Below are 20,315 nucleotides of genomic sequence, written 5' to 3'. Positions count from 1 at the left end.
ATTGAAGCTAGCTGCACCCCACTCAGCCCTGGCTGTTTCTAAGCCCTTCACATTTCTAGGCAGCTAAAGTTGGCAAGATAAGGCATGATCATTAAGGTCTTTAAGGACAAAGCCGTGTTGCCTCCTGAATCCTTAAGAAAAGCCCTTCTCCTGCTCATCTCTAAATCCCAGGGCTATTATTTGGGTTTTAGAAAGAAGCTGAACTGCTATAGCTTGGAAGTTCTGTGTATTTCTCTCCCCTGCTTAGCATATGTCATTTTAGTTAGAAAATGGAAAATATGGAGCTGGGCACAATGACTTGCATCTGTAATGTCAGCTACTCAGGAGGCTGAAGCCAGAGGATCATTTGAACCTAGGAGTTTGAGACCAATCTGGGCAACATAGCAAGATCCCATCTCTGAAGAAGAGGAAAATAGAAAATATGACACTGTGAACATAATTTTAAAATAAAGTGGACATCTCTAGATTCTTTAAAAAAAAACTGGTGAGACTGTAATTATCACTCTCACATTAACAAAAGAAATTTGAAGAAAATGCTTGTATCATTGGTGCTTTTTTTCCCTAAAACTGCCTCACCTAGAGGGGACCTAAAAGCAGCGTCAAAAGTAGTAAAGCCACATTTTCTAGGCAGGTAAGTTAATGCTGCATGAGGGAGCTGAGTGGTACAATGTTGATTTTTTTTTTCTTTTTTTTGAGATGGAATCTCACTGTCGCCCAGGCTGGAGTGCAGTGGCACGAACTCAGCTCATTGCAACCTCCGCCTCCCGGGTTCAAGCAGTTCTCTGCCTCAGCCTCCCAAGTAGCTGGGATTACAGGCACCCACCACCATACCCAGCTAATTTTTTTGTATTTTTAGTAGAGACAGGGTTTCACTATCTTGGCCAGGCTGGTCTTGAACTCCTCACCTTGTGATTCACCTGCCTCGGCCTCCCAAAGTGCTGGGATTACAGGCGTGAGCCACCACACCCAGCCAAGTGTTGATTTTTATGCTGTAAGTTAGTGTTTCTCAAACCTCAATGTGCACAGCAGTTATCTGGGGCTCTTGTTAAAATGCAGATCCTGGTTCAGTAGATCGGGGGTGGGGCCTGGGATTCTGCATTTTCCAGCAAGCTCCCTGGTGATTGTGATGTTGCAAGGCTGTACCTAACTTCCACATATCTGCTAAGTGACTTGTGTTCCTTTGTATGAGTTTAGACAGATATCAAAGAAGGATAAATAAGCTTCTAGAACTAAGCTTGCTAGACCATCCCCTGATATGTTTGTTTTGTTGAATGGTTAAGCAAGAATTATAAGGCTTCCTGAAGTTATAAGTGATGGAGGGTGACAGGGTTTTGATTATACCATAATTTAACAGATCATGTTAAGATTGCAGAAGGCAGGATGTTGAATAGAATCAGTGAAAAGAAAGAGAAAGGAAGAGGCCAGAATTGAGCAGGGTTCGTTTGTGTCTATTTTTGACATTGCTCTGGGTTATCTGTCTATAGCATCTCTCTGCCAAAGTGAATCATGGCAACTTGAAAGTGGTTATTTATTGAAGTATTTTAGAAGTCAATTCTACCTTTCTCAATCTTTTTAAAATAAATATTTTCAAATGGAAGGATCAAAGAAATGTCAGCTGCTTCCGTAGAATATAATCCAGAACCCAAGGTAGTATTTGTTGGACAGAAATGTCAAAAAGCATCAACTCCAAATAAGGAAAGGCAGAGGAAAAAAAAAAAAAAAGGCTTCTCCAGCCGTAGGTGAGAGAGGGCACAGGCTGCCATTTATACACACAGTGCTGGAGCCGAGTGCTGTTGCAAGAAGGTATGGACCAAAGAAGTCAACATTTCCCTAGAAAATAGGGGGAACAGGCTGGGCACGGTGGCTCACACCTGTAATCCCAGCACTTTGGGAGGCCAAGGCAGGTGGATCACAAGGTCAGGAGTTCAAGACCAGCCTGGCCAAGATAGTGAAACCCCATCTGTACTAAAAATACAAAAATTAGCTGGGCACGGTGGCAGGTGCCTGTAATCCCAGCTACTTGGGAGGCTGAGGCAGGAGAATTGCTTGGACACAGGTGGCAGAGATTGCAGTGATCCGCGATCACACCACTGTACTCCAGCCTGGGAGATGGCGTGAGACTCCATCTCCAAAAAAAGAAAAAAATAGGGGAACATTCAAAAGGGTACCCAGGAATGTAACATAAGACTATGAAAGAAACCGGCCGGGTGCGGTGGCTCAAGGCTGTAATCCCAGCACTTTGGGAGGCCAAGGCAGGCGGATCACAAGGTTAGGAGATCGAGACCATCCTGGCTAACATGGTGAAACCCCGTCTCTACTAAAAATACAAAAAAAATTAGCTGGCCTGGGTGGCGGGCGCCTGTAGTCCCAGCTACTCGGGAGGCTGAGGCAGGAGAACAGTGTGAACCCGGGAGGTGGAGCTTGCACTGAGCCGAGATCACACCACTGCATTCCAGCCTGGGTGACAGAGCAAGACTCCATCTCAAAAAAAAAAAAAAAACTATGAAAGAAGCCATATGGGGACAAAGAATGCTAAAACTGGGACTTCTCACTCTCCTGTATAGTGATTTCTTCTTAAAAACTCCTCAGTGAAAAGATTTTACCTCATTGCCAGGGTCAACAGTGGACAACCTGGGGTTGCCATAGACATCCTAAGCCCTATGCCCATTCTGCACCCCTTTTCCCAACTTGCCTCCCCATCTTTGCCCAACCTTAAGTCTCTACCATTGCCTTCACCCTGTTGCCTCACTTATACTAAAGTGCAAATGACCCAGCAGGGACCTAAGTGAGCAGCCTGTCTTCTCAATACATTTTGCCCAAAGGTATCCCAAATTTCCCAACCCAGTCAGAGCCACCAGATTTTTTTACAGCTGTATTTTCTAAACTAATAAACAAGAAATATAGCCAGATACTAACAGTCATTAAACCTGGAGGTCAGAGCATAGAAATTCCATATAATTTCCTGAATGCTTGAAATATTTTGTAATAACTATTAAAAACTGAGGTAGGTGACTTTACGATCAGCCAGGACCACATCAGTGCTGTTCCTGCAGAAGAAATGGCTGTGCCCAGGGCTCCCTCTCACTCTTACTGCTGTATTGGGATGCCCCATTTGACCTGAAATGATTCAACGCCCTGTCTGCACATTTGCATCTCCTGAAGAGCTCCTCACTCTAAAACCCTAGACTGATTAAATCAGAATTACAATGGGGAACAGTCTCTGCACTGGTATGTTTCAAAAGCTCCCACATGGTTGTAGCAGGCAGCCAGGGTTGAGAACCATTGATTTAAAGAAGAATCACAAGAATGCTTTAAAAAGATACCTGCAAATTCTTCAGTGTTTAAGCTCCCAACATGAAAATCTTTGTCTTCTTATTGCCAAGAATCATCTGAGAGTCATGTGATGCGTGTCTCCACCCCCACCATCCCACACCCCTTCCCCATCCCACACTTGAGACCATCAACCCACACCCAGCCCAGCACCACCACAACTGCCGCCAGCATCAGCACCAATGTCCTTGCTACCTCCAACAGGAACAGCAGCTGCAAGAAGAAAGAGTGAAATGCAGAGCTGAGGCCCTTATCTCAAATGATCGACTTTGGCACTTGGATATTCAAGCCTTTAAAATTTATATATGAGGGGGTCACTGAGAGGGCTTGGTATCTGGTAGTTCAAACACTTGCAACCTGGGCCCCCTAGGTTCAGCTGGGTCTAAGAAAGCCTGGAAATGTTCTCACCCAAACAGCCTACAAGTACTCAATTCATAAATCCCCTGTTACACAAATTAAAATACATATTAAGGGATTTTTTTAACTTTGTAGATTTTAGGGACACATTTCTAAGCAGTGCTTAATCATCCATGGTTTTCTAGCTAGTCGGAACCATTCATAGATATGAGGCAAAATTTTGATCTCTATATAAAATTATTCTCACTACACCTAAAATGACATCGTGTACAGTGCAGAGTGTACATGCCTGTGTCCGTGCATGTGTGCCTGTGTGTTTGTCTATGCGTGTCTGTGTTCGTATCTGTCTCTGTGTCTATGTGTGCATGTTTATGTGTGTCTGTACCTGTCTCTGTGTGTGTGTCTTTGCCTGTGTGTGTCTGTGTGTGGTTCCCCTAACCTGCCTTTGCAAAACCTGCTCACCTTTCATCCATCCAGCACACAGCTGAGAGGCCCACCTGTGAAAGTATCCTATGAAAGCAAGGAGGAAAGCCCGTCCCCTATGCCTTCCCTGCTTCCCAGTCCTTCTGTCACTCACCTTTCTGAGATAGGTAGGTGAGCATCGTACAGTTAGATTCAGGAGATCAGAGTAAACCCTCAGGATCCCTTGTGTTTAACTTTAGGGAGAAATTTCCAGAATTTATAACCTGACTTTCAATGCGCAATATTTTACAGGAAAGATTTTTATTAAGGTTGCCCCCATGTGCCATCTTGCCAGATTCGATTCTGTAAAGGTTTTTGGAAACCCACAGTAGGCTACAGCTTCACTGGGGCTTGTTTTGTTTGTTGGCTGCTTGCTTGGATGCGGGGGAGGCGGGCAGAGTCAGAGGCAGTGTTCTCCTGAATTGTACCGATGTGATGCACTCCCCATGTCTGTGGGACTTGCAGGGGAAAACCTTTTGACACACAGAGCCGCCATGTTTTATTCCTTTGTACATGATTTACAATTGCATGGTTCTTTTCAACTCTCAGAAATCAGAAATCTCAGCATGTGTTTCACACATAGAAGGTTTGTGTCAAACCTTGAGTGGGTTTGCTGTACAGACATGCAGCTGAAGGCAGGTCAGCCTTCTTGCAGGAGTGTCTTCCAGGGCAACAGGAGGCCACGAAAGCAGAAGTCTTTTATGTCGTAGGTTAAAATAGGTCTTAAGCTCTTTTACTTAGAAATGTGAATTGACTGTAAAACTCTTTTGAGAAGTTGATGTGATTTGGCTGTGTTCCCACCCAAATCTCACCTCGAATTGTAGTCCCCGTAATCCCCACTAGTCATGGGAGGGACCTGGTGGGAAGTAATTGAATCATGGGGGCAGTTACCATCATGCTATTCTCATGATAGTGAGGGAGTTCTCATGAGATCTGATGGTTTTATAAGGGGCTTTTCCCCCTTTGCTTGGCACTTCTCCCTCCTGTTGCCGTGTGAAGAAGGATGTGCTTGCTTCCTCTTCTGCTATAATTGTAAGTTTTCTGAGGCCTCCTCAGCCATGCTGAACTGTGAGTCAATTAAAGCTCTTTCCTTTATAAATTACCCAGTTTCGGGTATGTCTTTATTAGCAGTATGAGAAGACTAATATGGAAGTATATAAATTTTTCAGGCTGATTTATCTAAACCCAGCATCCAGAAATAGGAAGAAAAAAAATGAATTTGTGCAGGCTAGCTCACTGAGTTGAATTGTGTCCCTCAAAAAGACATACTCAAGGCCTAATGCCTGGTACCTATGCATGTGGCTTTACCTGGAAATAGGGTTTGTGCAGATGTAACCAAGTTAAGATGAGGTCATTAGGGTGAATGTTAATCCAGTATGACTGGTGTGCTTAAAAGAGGAGACAATGGGATGGCCATGAGAGAGGAAGACCATGTGAAGATGGTGGCAGAGATTGGAGTGATGGGTCTGTAGACACATCAAGGAATGCCAAGGGTTGCTGGCCAGTGAGAAGCTCAGACAAAGGCATGGAGTGGATTCTTCCCTGGAGCCTTCAGAGGGAGTGTGGCCCTGCAGACACCTTGATTTGGGGCTTCTGGCCTCCAGAACTGAAAGAATGAATGTTTGTTGTTAAAGCCACCCAGGTTGTAGTACTTTGTCATGGCAGCCCTCTAGGAACACCACCCAAAACCTTCTTCTCAGGGTCAGCCGGCCCTGGGCAAAATGGTGAACCACACCCACCCCTTTCCCCAGCCCAGCCCTCCCCTCTTACCCTGTTCTTCTGCCGTCACCTCCTCCTATTAAAGCCTGCACCAAGGAATGCAGCATGGGGATTCTGGAGGGCTCCTTGCTTGTCAAACATTGAGGCTCGTTTCTTATCATAAAATGATAGGCTCTTCTGCCTGTTGAGACAATTTGTGAGGGATTGCAGATAGGAATCTCACAAACACAAACCTCAAAACATCCAGAGGTAGAACCTCGTTTCTTTAGACCTGAACTCCACTTAGCTCACAAGCCCCCATATCTAGGGAGTAGCAGAACAACTTGCCAGTTTAAGGTTCCCTCAGTCACGTGTGGTTCACATCTGATTTTGAAGCCACCACCCACACAGGTCAAGGTTTCAGGATGCCCCACCCTCAGCATCTCCTACCTTCCTTCTTGCAGACAGCAAGTGGGTTTGGGGAAGGCTGACATAGCCTTATGGTGTCAGGTGGAGAGAGGAAGCAGGCTTCTGGCCTGAGGTCTCAACTTCTGTGAACTCCACTGAGGTGTAACTTGATGGCCTCAGGTTATACCTTGATGACCTCAGTCTCCCGGCTCTGTCTGCTGCTTAGGCCGCAGCATGGCCTGGCTGCTTGTCCAAACCACACACCTCTGCTGGTGCACACCCCACCTGTCACTCCAACTTTCAGTACTAGGAGTGGGGCTCACTAACTGGTTTACGAGCTCTCTGGGCCACGTATGAACAAATGAGGTGCAGATCTCTTCTGCGTTGTGATCCCCAAACTCACCCATGGGCTCGTATCTCCTGCCCCACCAGGTCTCCAACTTCACGGAGATGGCTGGGCATGGGCCCCATACATCCTTCTCTCCTTGCCAAATTTTATCCACCTTCCTCCCATCCCCATGGTAGGATTCTTATCTTCTATTTGTTGAGAAAACTGCTGTTACAACATCATATCTTCTTTCCAAATCTTTATGCTCTAAGTTTTCCAAGGTCTAGTGCCTGGTTCCAAAGTCAACCTTTGGAGAACTTAAAAAAAATCCATCTGGCCCTTGTATTCCAAAACCCAGACTTCCAAGACTATCTGGGGTGTCAAAGCTAAGAATGTTGCTATCTGTTCTTGTAGTGTTCTTTTTGTTCCTGGGCCAATTAGCTTCAGCCTGTGGTTTGAATGATGGAGAGGCTGAAGGGGAAAAGGGAATTACTGAGAATGATGTGGGAGCAGTAGAAGAAGAGAGAGAGGAAAGTGTCTGAGGGGAATCAGAAAGGGTTACCAGCACCCCAAAATCACACGCACCATGTAGTGAGGCTGCCTGTGTTACACACACCACCTGCAATCCCCATCAACCCCACTAAGTCCAGAATAGCCAGCCTTGGTTTTCATGGGCCTGTCATGGAGACAATTGGGAACAGCCTGTCTCAGAGTGACCAGGAGTCCCATGGCATCTCATCCCACCTTCCCTACACAGCTCCAGCTATGGCAGCAACAAGCCTTGGTCTGGCCAGCCTGGCTGACTGCCTCAGGCCCACACAGCTTCAGAGGCCACCTGCCCAACAAGCAGGTGAAGGCTTCCTCTGATCTTGTCTTCCTTTGCCTTGACCCAGCTCCCGTGACTTTCCTTCCACATTCTGCAGGATAGGAAAAAGAGAAGCTATATTCAATCATTGAGGCATTTTTCATGGTGAAGGGCTGGAAGTCAAGTTTGTTCTAACCTCAGGATCTTTGCACTTACAGATCCCTCTCCAGATCACCTTTTTCCCCAGAACTTTGTAAAATTTGCCCCTTCACATCCATCCTGTTTCTTCTTGAAGGTCATCTCATCAGAGAGGGGATCCCAGACCACCCTAAAATCACCACCACACATCACTCATTATCTTCTTACACATCTTGAATTTACAGCACGTAACATTTCCTGAGATTTAGGTTACAGCTAGAATACACAGCTGTTATTTCTGGCTTTTATCTCCCACCAAAATGCAAGCTCCATGAAGGCAAGGACTTTGTCTTATTCACTGCTGAGTTTCAGTACCTGGAACAGTAACTGGCCTATAAGGGGCACTTAAAAAAGATTTGAGGAGTGGATGCATGATAGCAACCACTGAAAACTATAACCCGACTTGGAAGGGGCTTGGTTTTGCAGGAAGCCAACCTGGGATTCATAACCAGGCATGAGGATGGGGCTGGGGGAGGGTTAGTCAATACAGGACCCTGTGCTAACTCTGGGGTAAGGTATGGCTATAAAACAGAGCAGCCCTACCGTGGTTCTTTACAAGGTTGGTCTAAGAGTTATTTCACTTTGGGAGCCTCCCACACAAGGGTGACTTGACCAAAGTTCTCAGCAGGGGATAACAGGATGCAGGAAACTCCTTGGTCACCAGGAGACCATAGCTGAGCTTCCCAAGCAGGCTCAGAAGCCTTCAGGCAGTGGTGAGGGTAGGAGAGGGAAGGAAGGGCTTTCTTCCTGGGAGTGGGGGTGGATGGCCCACACTACTGTCTGTCAGCCGGAACAGAGGATGAGTGAAATTTAGAAAAGAAAAAAAAAAAAAAAAACAAGGTTGGATCAGGTGGTGGGGGAAATAGTTGAATTTTAACTAATTAAATCAACATTCCCTGAGGGCTTTCTGTGTGTCAGCAAACTGCTAGGGGCTGGGGAAAAGATACCTGAAAGTCACGATTCCAGCCCTCAAAAAGTGGAAGCCAGAGGTTCTAGAAATGGCTCTGAAGCCAGAGTGACAGCTAGGCTTTGAAGGAGGCTGAAGAGTTGCAAAGTGAAAATGGAGAGGCAGCAGGCAGCTCTTCGTCTGTTAAGAGGGGTTCTCAATTTCAGCTTCCTTCAGCGGGCAAATCCAGAGACTTAATCGTAGGTTATACTTAAAAGTAGCCTATATGCGTGATGCCTTATTAAAAGTGCCTTTAGCTACCTCTATTTTTAGAGTATATTAATCATGTTACCTTTTGATTTGAAATTGGGACAGGTTAGCTCTAATTACATGAGATTCTTTAAGGAGCTTGGAAAGACCCAGGATGATCCATCCCCAAACCCAAATTATTAACTCTGTTTTCTTACTTTCGGGGAAAAGCTACTGGTCCATGGCAGCAAGGACCTGCAGGTGGTGCCCAGGTGTCTGGCTGTCACCAGGCAACACTGAGAAACCAAGGGTGTCTCAGTAAGAGTGAGCAGCTGCATACTCTAGTCCAGCATTAAACATGACCCAGGCCTCTGGTGCAGAGTTAGGTTAACTTGGAGCTCTGATAACAAAAGATCAAGAGTTGGGTTTTTAAAAAATATAAGCTTTCCCCTACCCCCAATTTTTTGGAGAGCTGTGGTTAACAGGCTAGGAATTTTGGCAGCAGGTAGCAAAAAGAGTCTTGAGAAGTGGAGGATCCTCATTCTTTCCAGCCCACTCTGCTCTGGGAGAATGTCTGTTGGATCCGTAATAAGCAAATCGTGTCATTTTATCCACCAAGAGATAACAGCCTTCCCAGGACTCCTTGGTGCAATTCATGAGCCTGGTGATGCCATGTGTTAATAAATTATAAAGGAAAATAACCTCGAGAAAGGCAAGTTTGGAGGGCAGAAGGCATGCAGTAGTCATCTACTGCTGCATAACAAGTGACTGCAAACTTAGCATCTTGCAGTACCATCCATTGATCATCTCACAGCTTCCAGATGTCAGAAGTGCAGGCTTGGCTGGGCTTTGCCCAAGGCTGAAATCAAGGTGTTAGCAGGGCTGCATTCATTCCTGGGTCCTCTTGCAAACTCACGTGGCTGTTGGCAGAATTCAATTCCTTGAGGCTGCAGGACTGAGATTCCCATTCTTGTGGCTGTCAGGTGGAGACTGTGCTCCCCTCCTGGGACTGCTGTCTCAGTGCCTCACCACGTGTCCCCTCCATGTGGGCTTGCATGCTTTGAATCCCTCTCATGTTTCAAATCTCTCTTGCAAGGAAGAATGGGGTCACTTTGAAGTGCTCAGGTCTGCCCCCACAGGATCATCTCCCTCTCTTAAAGTCAATTCATTGGGAATCTTAATTGTATCTCTTCTTCTCAGAAGTCTCTGTTTAGCATTTGATTGGATAATTGGGAGCAGGTGTGTGTCCCCCAAGCAGCAAGGATCTTGGGGGCCACCTTTGAATTCTGCCTACCATAAGACACAAGCACCTGTGTCCATGTCTTCCAGGCTTTGGGGCAATACTGACAAAGGTGGCTGTGTCAGACCCTTTCCTCTGCTCCCCACCACTGTACCTCCCCCAAGAGGACCCCATGAGCCCTGCTATGTGATGAAGTGGCCTTTCCTAGGAAATGATTTTCAGTTCAGAATTAATTCTAACCTGTTTCTTCACCAAGCACTCAGGGTGCAGTCAATCCAGGGATAGGATGGACAGAATGAGATAGGACTGGCTAGACAGATGGATCCCAACACAGGGAACCATCTACAGTGCTCAGAAAGCATGGCAGAGAAATAACAGCCATAAGTGCTGAGATAAAAGGAAGAAGATTTCTCTGAGAACAAGAAGCTCTAGACCAGCATTGAAGGCAAAGGAGGCAGAAAACTGCAGCAGAAGGTTGAGAAGCAGGAGGGCAGGTAGTCATTTATAATTAATGCCCTCCATTATTTTATTCTGACTGTAGAAGTGAGACGCACATTATTTAGGACCCATAAGTAGCCTAGCTTGGTTTAAGCAGTGGGTTCCTGCAGGCCACAGCTCTCAGCCCAGTGTCTGCCCCTCTTCCTGACCCAGTGGTCCTAGGTCCCTGGGGATGAGAGCCAGGTGACTCTACTTATAAAGATATTCTGAGATAAAGATAGAAGGGTAGGTTGGGGGCAGATAGACTATGGAACTCTGAGTTTTTGTGAAATTTGACTTTTACTTTGGGGCTTTGGGCAGGCCTGAAAGTTTTCTGAGTAAATGGTAACTTGGGGTAGCAGAAGGCAATGTGGCTTCTGGGGAAGGTTAACCCAGCAACAGGGTAGACAATGGAGTAGCAGTTTTTAAAAGACTACAGATGCGGGCAGAGAGATGATGCTCCCTGGAAGGCTGTGATGGAAACAGAAAGGAGGCAGGAAGCTGAGATGCAGAGAGAAGCTGGAAAGGAGGAGTGAGGGAGACGAGGGTCTCAGTCGTGGTAGCCCGCCAGCCCAGCAAGCATGACCATGAACTTGAGAGGAACAAGGTGAACACCTGTGCCTCCCTCTAAGCTGCAGAAGGCACTGCCATTGCTGCGCTACTTGATGCATTCTTAAGTGAGATGGATGTGAGGTGCGGAAATGCATCCATAGAGCCCTGACGACACACCTGGCTTATAGGCCCAGACATACTAGAGAATCAAGAATCCTGACATGCAGTTCCCCGAGTAGAAAGATTTCTACACGAGCAAAGTAGTAAGGTGACTTCATTGCTTTAGACTTTTTAAACAGATGCCAACCTTCTGGAACACTTTTCAGGAGACACATAGACTTACCACAGATGCATCCCATGATGAAGAACAGGTGAGTGGACGAGCATTCATGCCTCTGTGGATTGCAGCTCAGCTTCTGGCAAACAGGCAGCTTCCTTGAACACCAGTCCTCTGGGGTCACCAACCTGGAAAGCCAACAGGGGCTCACTTATTTCTTAGCCCCTGCAAACATTAAAGGTTTATACCTACCAAGGGATTCAAAATGCTTAACTGTCAAGCATCACTAAGAGTCAATCTGACAATTTCAAATCTGAAAGGAATCTGAACAATTTTGAACACAGTTGTCCAAGTTCCAGAGTAGTGACATGACTTTCCAAGCACTAAACAATCAGAAAGTGACAGAATGAGGATTCAGACCCGTGCCTGTCTGGTTCTGAAGCCCGGGACTTTGGGAGCAGGGAAACTTCAAATGCATTTACATAAGCCTTCCCCCAGGCAGAGAAGCCAAGACGGTGCCCGCCGCCTGGCACCTGGAAACACAGCCATGTCCCACCTGGCACTAGGTGCTTGGTCAAGCAAGACCATCAGATGACAAGCTCCCCAGTAACATGAAGCATGCATGCTAGTGACAACTCATTCATTTAGGCAGGGGCTCAATCCTGCTGGGGCTAAAAGGGGTAATCTGTAGGGGTCTGCAGGCTCTATTCCAGGGCCACAAGACCACTTGTTTTTGTAAGGCTTGAGCTAAGAATGGCTTTTACATTTTTAAAAGGTTGGGGAGAAAATAAAACTATTACAGAGACTACATGGGACTTGCAAAGAGTAAAATACTTAATAGCTGGCCCTTTCTAGAAAAGAGTTTATCAACTCCTAGATTCTGGGGCAAGCCTACATTTTCAGCAAAAACTGCCAAAGGCATAAGGAGGTGAAGCAACTCCCAGGTTACCCAACTACTTGGAGACAGAGCTGGGAGCTAGACTTCAGGTCTCTTATTTCTACTATCTAGAGTGAAGGCCTGCACCGGCGTAAAAGCGCGTGAATACACATGCACATACAGACCCACATATGCATACAAACACACAGGCACATGAGCATACACACATGCATCCACACACATGCACTATCACTCATGAGTGCACACACACACACAAATGTGCATGCCCACTTGTTTGCACACAACACACTCACGCACACACAAGCCCTATGACTATGGAATAATATTGCTGCCTTTTCTTTGTGTCCTATGAAACATTCCATGCATGAAGGCAGTTTGCAAACTCTAAAGTGCCTGTAAGGCAGAGACTGTTTTTATTTTTGTCGAGCTTAAGTCGATTTAGTAGCAATAGGATGCTGGGCATGGCAAATGCACTAAAAGTGCCCGTGGTGACTGGCCTGCTGTGTCCCTGCCTGCCTCCCACCACAGTTGGAGCTTGTCCATTCTCACAAGCCTTACCTCTTGCTGTTTTCTATAAACCATGAGGAATTTGGCCAAAGTGAAGAAACATAGTTATACCTGTCTGCCTTCTTCCATTAATGGGTGACCCTGCAAGAGGAAAGGCTGGGGGCGAAGGGCTGGTATTTGCTGCGTGTAAGTGGCACATAAAGGAGCATTGAAGAGTGCAATAAATCCATGCCCAGTCATGCAGTGGTTTCCTGATGCCACCTGCCCATGTGCTGTAGTTTTCATCGCCCTCTGTGGATAAGGTTTATGAAACTAAACTTTAATAGAGCAGCCCCATCTCCCCAGCACTTCTGTTACCAAGAAACCCAAGCCTGTTGTGTGGATTCTGAGCACACATATTGATTGTATACCCAGCACGCTCATCTGTCAACCCAAGGCTACAACCCCCTCCTGCTCACACTGCTTTGGAAACAGGACAGAAAAACCATCCTGGGCACACAGTAGAGAATTAAAAAGGAAGAAAATGCTTATGGAGTGAACCCACATAAAACTGTAGAAGTGGAGGGTCTGGGAGCTTCTAACTGAATTCTCACCTCCATAGGAATCCCACTTGTAACAACCTTAAGGTGAAAACTGCCAGCCCCTGCTTGGATGCTTCCAAAGACAGGGCACTTGCTACCTAACACAGAAGCCCTATAATGTTTAAGCAGCTTTAGCTGTGAGACCCCCAAGTCTCTGGTCACAAATTTCCTCCTGTTGGTCTTAGCACTGCCCTATTTACTGTCCACCTGAAGGCAACTGTCAGGACCCAGCTGTCCTTTTGTCTACAGACTGCTGTAGACTGAATGTTCATGTCCCCACAAGGTTTATATGATGAAGCCCTAACCCCCAGCGTGGTGGCATTTGGAGATGAGAACTTTGGGAGGTATTTAGGATTAGATAAGGTAATGAAGGTGGGGCCCATCATGAGGGCAATAGGATAGGTGGTCTTAGAAGACGAGGAAGAAGAGGTGGAGACTCATACTTGTAATCCCGGCACTTTGGAAGGTCAACATGGGAGGCTCCCTTGTGCCCAGGAGTTGGAGATTATAGTGAGCTGTGATCGTGCCACTGAACTCCAGCATGAGCAAGATGCTGTCTCAAAACAACAATAACAACAACAACAAAAGAAGCAGAGGAAGAGCACTTTCTCTCTCTCTCTCTCTCTCTCTCCATGCAGAGAGGAAAGGCCAAGTGAAGATATAGCAAGAGGTCTGCCCATCTATAGGCTAGGAAAGGAGCCCTTACCAGGAACTGACCCCTGCCAACAGTTCATCTTAGAGTTCCCAGCCTCCAGAGCTGTGAGAAATAAATGTCTGTTGTTTCAACCATCCAGTCAATTGTATTTTGTTATGGTAGCCCGAGATGACTAAGACACAGACTAAATATATTTACTTTCTACAACTTTCTCCACATCAGAATCCCGGAGCTTTCCACTCCTGACTGCCTTCCTTTGGGTGCATCCCAGCTTGTGCTAGGCTCAGCCCCTGATACAGAAAATAGGCTCAATAAATATTTAGTGAACCCCTGAAAAAAAAGCACAGAGGGAAGGTTGCCTGCCTGCCTCCAGACTCTCCACGTCTGCATCAGCTCAAGTTGTCATGGGCAGTCTTGACTTGAGTTGCCTTGCCCTTCTGCCTCTTCTGTGCCCTTTGAGCTTTTCTTGTCAGATTTTAATTTTCAGATCCTCCCATCCCTCCTGAGCCATCTCTATCCATGGGCTCTTATCCACATGTTCTCTGAATTCTTTTGAAGTTTGCCTTCTGACAACCTAGAGCAGGGTTCTCATCTGTTTTCCTTGGAGGATGAGATTCGTGAGTTGTCAATAGGTCTTCCACTAAAAAGACTCTGATGTCAAGCCAGCTTGGGAAATATGCTTCACGCCTGGAAAGCCCTGGATAAAAACACTTACTTTGTTGATCCCAAAATTTCCTAAATGTATTCCTGAGGAAGTCCTTTGTTATGGCCCATCTATTAACCTTTGAAGGGCGGTAACAGAAAATGCAATAACAGAAAATGCAAAGCCGTCTGATTAACCCTTGCTTGACTGTGCACTTCCTTCTTCCTCCCTCACTCTTGGGAATCCCATTTTCTGAGGCTCCCATCCCTGCCGTTTTATCAATCAGGACTTCTTTGTTTGGGGATCTTACAGAGGAGCATTCCCCACTTCCCTCCTTCACTTGAGTGGGAAGAAGATAGTGAGTTTGGCCCATAGCCCTGGCATGGCCCATGCCCTTTGTAGATGCGAGAGTCTGAGTTTCCCCCAAACCAGGACTAAATTCCAATGTTTCTCTGCAGAGGTGAGAGGTGGTGTACAATGTGCTTGACAAAAGCTGTTGTGACTCCTTTTTTCCTGGACAATGCACATTTTGTTCTTTTTTGAGACGGAGTCTTGCTGTGTCACCCAGGTGCAATCTCGGATCACTGCAACCTCTCCCTCCTGGGTTCAAGCAATTCTCCTGCCTCAGTCTCCCGAGTAACTGGGATTATAGGTGCCTGCCACCTGTAATTATCAATCATACTCGGCTAATTTTTTTTTTTTTGTATTTTTAGAGCCGGGTTTCACCATGTTGGCCAGGCTGGTCTCGACTTCCTGACCTCAAATGATCCACCTGCCTCAGCTTCCCAAAGTGCTGGGATTACAGTGTGAGCCACCATGCCCAGCCAACATTTCATCCATTTGAAATAAGAAATTAGGTGTAAATTTCTATAAAAACCTATAGGTGAGTCAAAGGGTTTTTTTACTTCCGTTTTGGACCCTATAGAAAATAACAGGCCACCTTCAAATCCAAGATTCTTTTTGGAAAATATTTTTATCCAACCTGGAACCATCTCTCCTCCCAATCCGACATGCATGTCTCTCTCTCTGTCTCTCTCTCTCTCTGTCACACACACACACACACACACACACACACACACACACACACACTTCATTTCAAGGCAGACATTGAGTTTTTCCTGATACCTGGCAAGTTCCATAATTTTACTTTGTCTGTAACCCTAGAAACAAACAGGACCCAGTCTTCAGCCGGGGAAGAGAGCAATGTTATTTTGGGCAAATAGGCCTTCCTCTGTACCTGGACATGATCTCGGATGAACTGAGGCACAGTGAACTTAGTGTAGTCCTGGATATCACTCACGCAGGGATGGAGCTGGGAGTAGCCAGTATAGGTCATAGCCAACCCCCTTACCACTCTGCCCACTGAGCTGCCTTTTTCCAGTGCAGAGAAGCCTCATAATCACAAGTTTAGTGCTGGAGCATCACTAGGAATCCAGTGGGAGCATACGTGCTGCAGGGGGTCCAGTAAATGCAACCCACCTTTGTTCTGGAGGCATTTCACACCACCTTTCCCTGTCCTCAGAGTCAATTTCAGCTAACATCCTGACCTGTACAAATTCTCTATGGAGTTAGTCATAAACCTGCCATGGCCCTATCTAGACACTGAGCAATTTGGGGGAAGGGAATATGTCTCATGCATGACCACTCCCATTACTCAGTACTCAGCTCACTACTGTACTTGGCACCTAGCCAGATCATAGCAAGATCACCGTCTGTTGCATTGACTTGCTGTTGAGGATAGATTCCTATGGTCTTTCTCAATCATCTCCTTTACAAACCTCCCTGAAGAGCCATATGCAGGCGTGAATGATGATCAATACACGGTCCCTGCCCTCAAGAAGGTCACAGTCTAGTACTGGATTCAGGCATACGCACAAATAATTGTGAAACTCTGTGGTGTTGGTCTATCAGGAACATCACACGGGATCGCCATTTTCACAGCAAGCATGTGACAAGGCAGACAGCCTTCCAGTGGGGGTGAGTGCTGGTCGTCACATGCCCCTGTCCCCCTCCCACATACCGCTCTACCTTTCCCTCCCGGACCCTCTTTCCCCACCCAGCCCCACCTGTATTTTTCCCTTTGTGATTCAGTGGTAGACATAGTATGTTAGACACATTTGGTACCTTGATCAAATTTCAACCGGGCAAAAAGAAGCGCATGCTTGGAGCACACAAGTTTCCTACTTTCTGGTGCTGGTAAGGCCTCATGCTAAGCTCTTCCATCTTTCATGCCAGTCCTGGTTTCTTGCCATAGGGCTGGGCTGGACTTGGTAACAGGAGGCTGGTAGACCTGCAAGCCTGCTGGAAGGGCAGGCTGGCCCACCACAGGGATGCCTAGAAAGCAGTTGCTGTGCTGAGCTGGTTTCACTACTTGCCTAACTCAGAACACTGCTAAGCAAATCATTGCAATTCTGCAAAGCTATTTGCTTAGAATTTCAATTCACAGTTTAGGGAAAGAGGTTGAATATGAGGATATTGATAAAAAATACTTATTATCTCTGTTCCTCTCTAAAGAAGGTAATTCTTTAAAAAAAAAAAATCCCACAAATGCAGCAGTAGTCACAATGGGATATGACATTACAACTCCATGCTCAGGAATAATTCAATTATGCTTGAAGATTACTTATTTTGAAACTAGCATTTTACTGTGTTTTCTCCCTCAAACCTTGGTTGTTCAAAGCTCAGTGCTTATTGTTTCCACCGTGCAGATTGATAGAGGACAGAAACTCACAAAAAGAGCTGTCTCTAAATGAAACCATTTAGTCATCCATTCCTATGGAGTGTACTCTCAGAATTAAGTCATTTCTTTGACATACACTTTCTTTAAGAAAAGTCTTATGATGCCTTTTCTTTCTCTTGAATTTTCTCTTCTCCAACTTGTGCTTTATCTTGCAAAATGTCAAATAAATTAAGTGTATGAACTTCCGGCATGCGCCAGAAAAAGAGACAGACAATATACACCCACTTTTGTTCTGAAACCTGGTATTCTATTAAGTTCCAACTAAAACAATGGAGTGTTCAAATCCACAGTCCCAGGAAATCAGCCTCTGGAGAGGAAGAAGTGAGAGGGACAAGTGTCCTCAAAGGCCACCTGTGGCCGATCCGACTGTAGGTGGGGAAATACACGTTGAGCAGCAGTATTTCTGTTCTGCCTTCCATAAGGAAGAGCCAACTTAGCCTGCAGGTCTAAATCTCGGTGGCCTGTTAGCCTAGCCAAGATTTAATGTCATTTACTCCACATTAGGTTTGATGCATTAACAGAATATTCCAGCTCTTTTCCTTTTATTTGGAAAGCAACTTGTTCATCTGGATTTTATACTTGACACTCAAGTTTTTCTGTTTGAGGGAAGAAGCATCTCACAGATCAGTGATTCTTTCCCTCTGCACATCCTGCAGAGAGCTGTTTCAACATCATTAGATAAAAACTGCAGGAATGTTCTCATGCGGTCAGTTTTCCTACCAACTGTTGACCTGTGTATTTCATGGTAGAAACTGCAGATAATACCTTTGGCAGGGAAGAATGGTACTGCTGTTTTAGACTTTCAGAGTTATCAGGAGAGACCTGGGGAGAAAAGGTGAGAGGGTGGATTTTTATTTTATCACTGTGATTAAATCAGAGTTTGCTATTTCCCCAATTAGGCGTTGGTGGGTTTGCCTTTTTTAACTTAATCCCACCATTCTGGGTTCACTATAGCACATGCAAATAGTGTTTCAATGACATCCAGGTACAAAAAACTTGTAAAACCATTCGACATCAACTCAAGGGCAGGGCACTTTGGAACATGACTCATAGTAATAAAAATGTTAAGTTTATTCTGACTTGGACCCCACAAGAAAAACTAAATAGTGAAGCTACAGATATTTACAGGGGACTCTTCACTCTTTGAGCACTGGCAGTCCATGATTTTTTGGGTGGTTGAAGCAAGCTTGCCTCAGGTCTTGCCTCAGGTTTAATGTTGCTTCTACTTCAAAGTATGTGATTTCATGTATTACATTATCCCCACAGCCCCTCTGAACTTGGACTTGGCCAACTTGTCCAATTGTTGCTGGGTTTTCCAGCCTGTCTACATGGATCCACCCACGTATGTTTCATAGTGAGCCTGTTTGTTCAACTCTCAACCTAAAGACATGCAATGCTGTAAATGAGGTGTTTAATTTATATATATATTTCATATATACATATATAACATAAATTTGTTTTGTATATAAAATATACTTTGAAAAAAGGACAGAACATATATGCACTGATATCATTATTTTGGGTGATTTTAATTGTCTTCTTTAGGCTTTTTCTTATTTTTTCAAATGTCCTGGGATAAGTAATGACTATGATGATGCAAAAATGAATGTTATTTGTAATAGGAAAGCATGGATAGTAAAAATATTAAAAATATAACTCTTTGAGGACGGCTTCTCTAGGGATCAGACTACCTGGATTTGAATCCTGGCTCTCTTTTTTGTTAATTGGGTGACTTTTGGCAAGTTACTTAACCCCTGAAACCGTCAGTTAGCTCATCTGTAAAATGGGAATATTATGGGTGTCTGTCCCAAAGTGTCTGGTGAGTGTGAAATGAGACGGCCCGGTCCAGTGTGTACCTTAGAGCCTGGCACAGCCTGTGCCCAGACACAGGCCTGCCACCAAGGCAGTTGCACAGGACCCCATGCTCAGAAGGCCCCATGCTTGATTTAATGCTCTGCCATCATTGTCTTGAAATTTGTAACAATTTTTGCACAAAGGGCCCTGCATTTTTGTTTTACACTAGGCCCCACAAATTATATAGCTGGTTCTGAGCCCATTAAATGTTGGCTAATACTATCGATGGTCCCCATTGATTCTTCATTATTTCAAAGCTCAACACAGAGTCAAAACTTGCAGATCTTTACAAATTACTTTTCAACTTTATAAGCCACCCTCCAACGCTGTTAGAGCCCTGAATTATTTAGTACTAAAAGAATAAATGAGGGGCTGAGAGGCCCACCGGAGGTGTTCCTTGTATGGAAACACCTGCAGACTAGCACAAGAGTTCCATTTTCTGGAGGCCGGGTTTGTGGGCACTGATAGTCACTGACCCTGAGATGGCTGCTGTGGAAAAGGCCATGGTTTTCCTTCTACCTTCTGAGCCTGGTTCAAAGAGAAAATTACTTTTAAGTTTCACATAAGTATTGAAGTGTGAGGCCAGCAATAAGGGAAAATCGAAACAGTAAGCTGTTTGCAGCTGCACATCCTGCAGCAGCTTCAGAAGCATAAAACCACCAGCAATTAAACCCCGAGGAACCCTAGGGTAGAAGCCAGGAGCCTCCTGTGACCTGGCCCCCAGGAAGATTAGCGCCCTGGCTGCTCACTCTGTCCCCACCTCTGGCTCTCCAGGTTGGCTTGGGGTCAAAAAGCACTGGGAAGAAGGGGGAGGAGGAAGCAGGATGGGCGAGCTTGGCATTTTGAATTCATAGGAAAGGTGGAGGCTCCCCGCTAAGCACTGTGCTGGGGAGAGAGGGAATAGGCCAACTGTGGTTCAAGTCCTGGAAGGCTTCTGCTTTTCAATTCTTTTTTAAAATAAGATTTTTTTATTTTACAAAAATAATGCCTGTTTGTTGGGGAGAATTATAATTCACTCTGGAAGGGGATAACTGTGTTCCAGAGAGAGCTCCACCAGCCTTGCACATTCATTTCTAGAATCACTTATGGCTGAGGGCAGGGGAGGAGCATGTGTCCCCATGAGACAGCCCTGCTCTCAGGACCTCGCCAATCGTCGGAAACAGACTGCTG

The 20,315-nt window shown here is 45.5% G+C and overlaps 1 protein-coding gene across 1 annotated transcript in view, besides 1 other annotated feature; it reads left to right on the top strand.

Moving 5' to 3' along the window:
• KCNJ6 (potassium inwardly rectifying channel subfamily J member 6) overlaps nt 1-20,315 on the top strand; it is a 309,085-nt gene that overhangs the window by 21,103 nt on the left and 267,667 nt on the right. The gene's annotated exons all lie outside the window — the stretch shown is intronic.
• Nucleotides 5,786-5,978: a silencer, noted in NCBI's record as "fragment chr21:39261680-39261872 (GRCh37/hg19 assembly coordinates)". NCBI's record gives its function as "represses an EF-1alpha promoter that drives an FKBP-Casp9 reporter gene in an ReSE screen in HepG2 liver carcinoma cells {active_cell/tissue: HepG2}" and the evidence as "EXISTENCE:reporter gene assay evidence [ECO:0000049][PMID:32094911]".

The sequence above is a fragment of the Homo sapiens genome, chromosome 21 (genome assembly GCF_000001405.40).
Source record: "Homo sapiens chromosome 21, GRCh38.p14 Primary Assembly".
NCBI classification, from domain to species: Eukaryota; Metazoa; Chordata; class Mammalia; order Primates; family Hominidae; genus Homo; species Homo sapiens.
The sequence above is the reverse complement of the archived record's forward strand: the minus strand, read 5'-3'. Positions and strand labels throughout refer to the sequence as shown.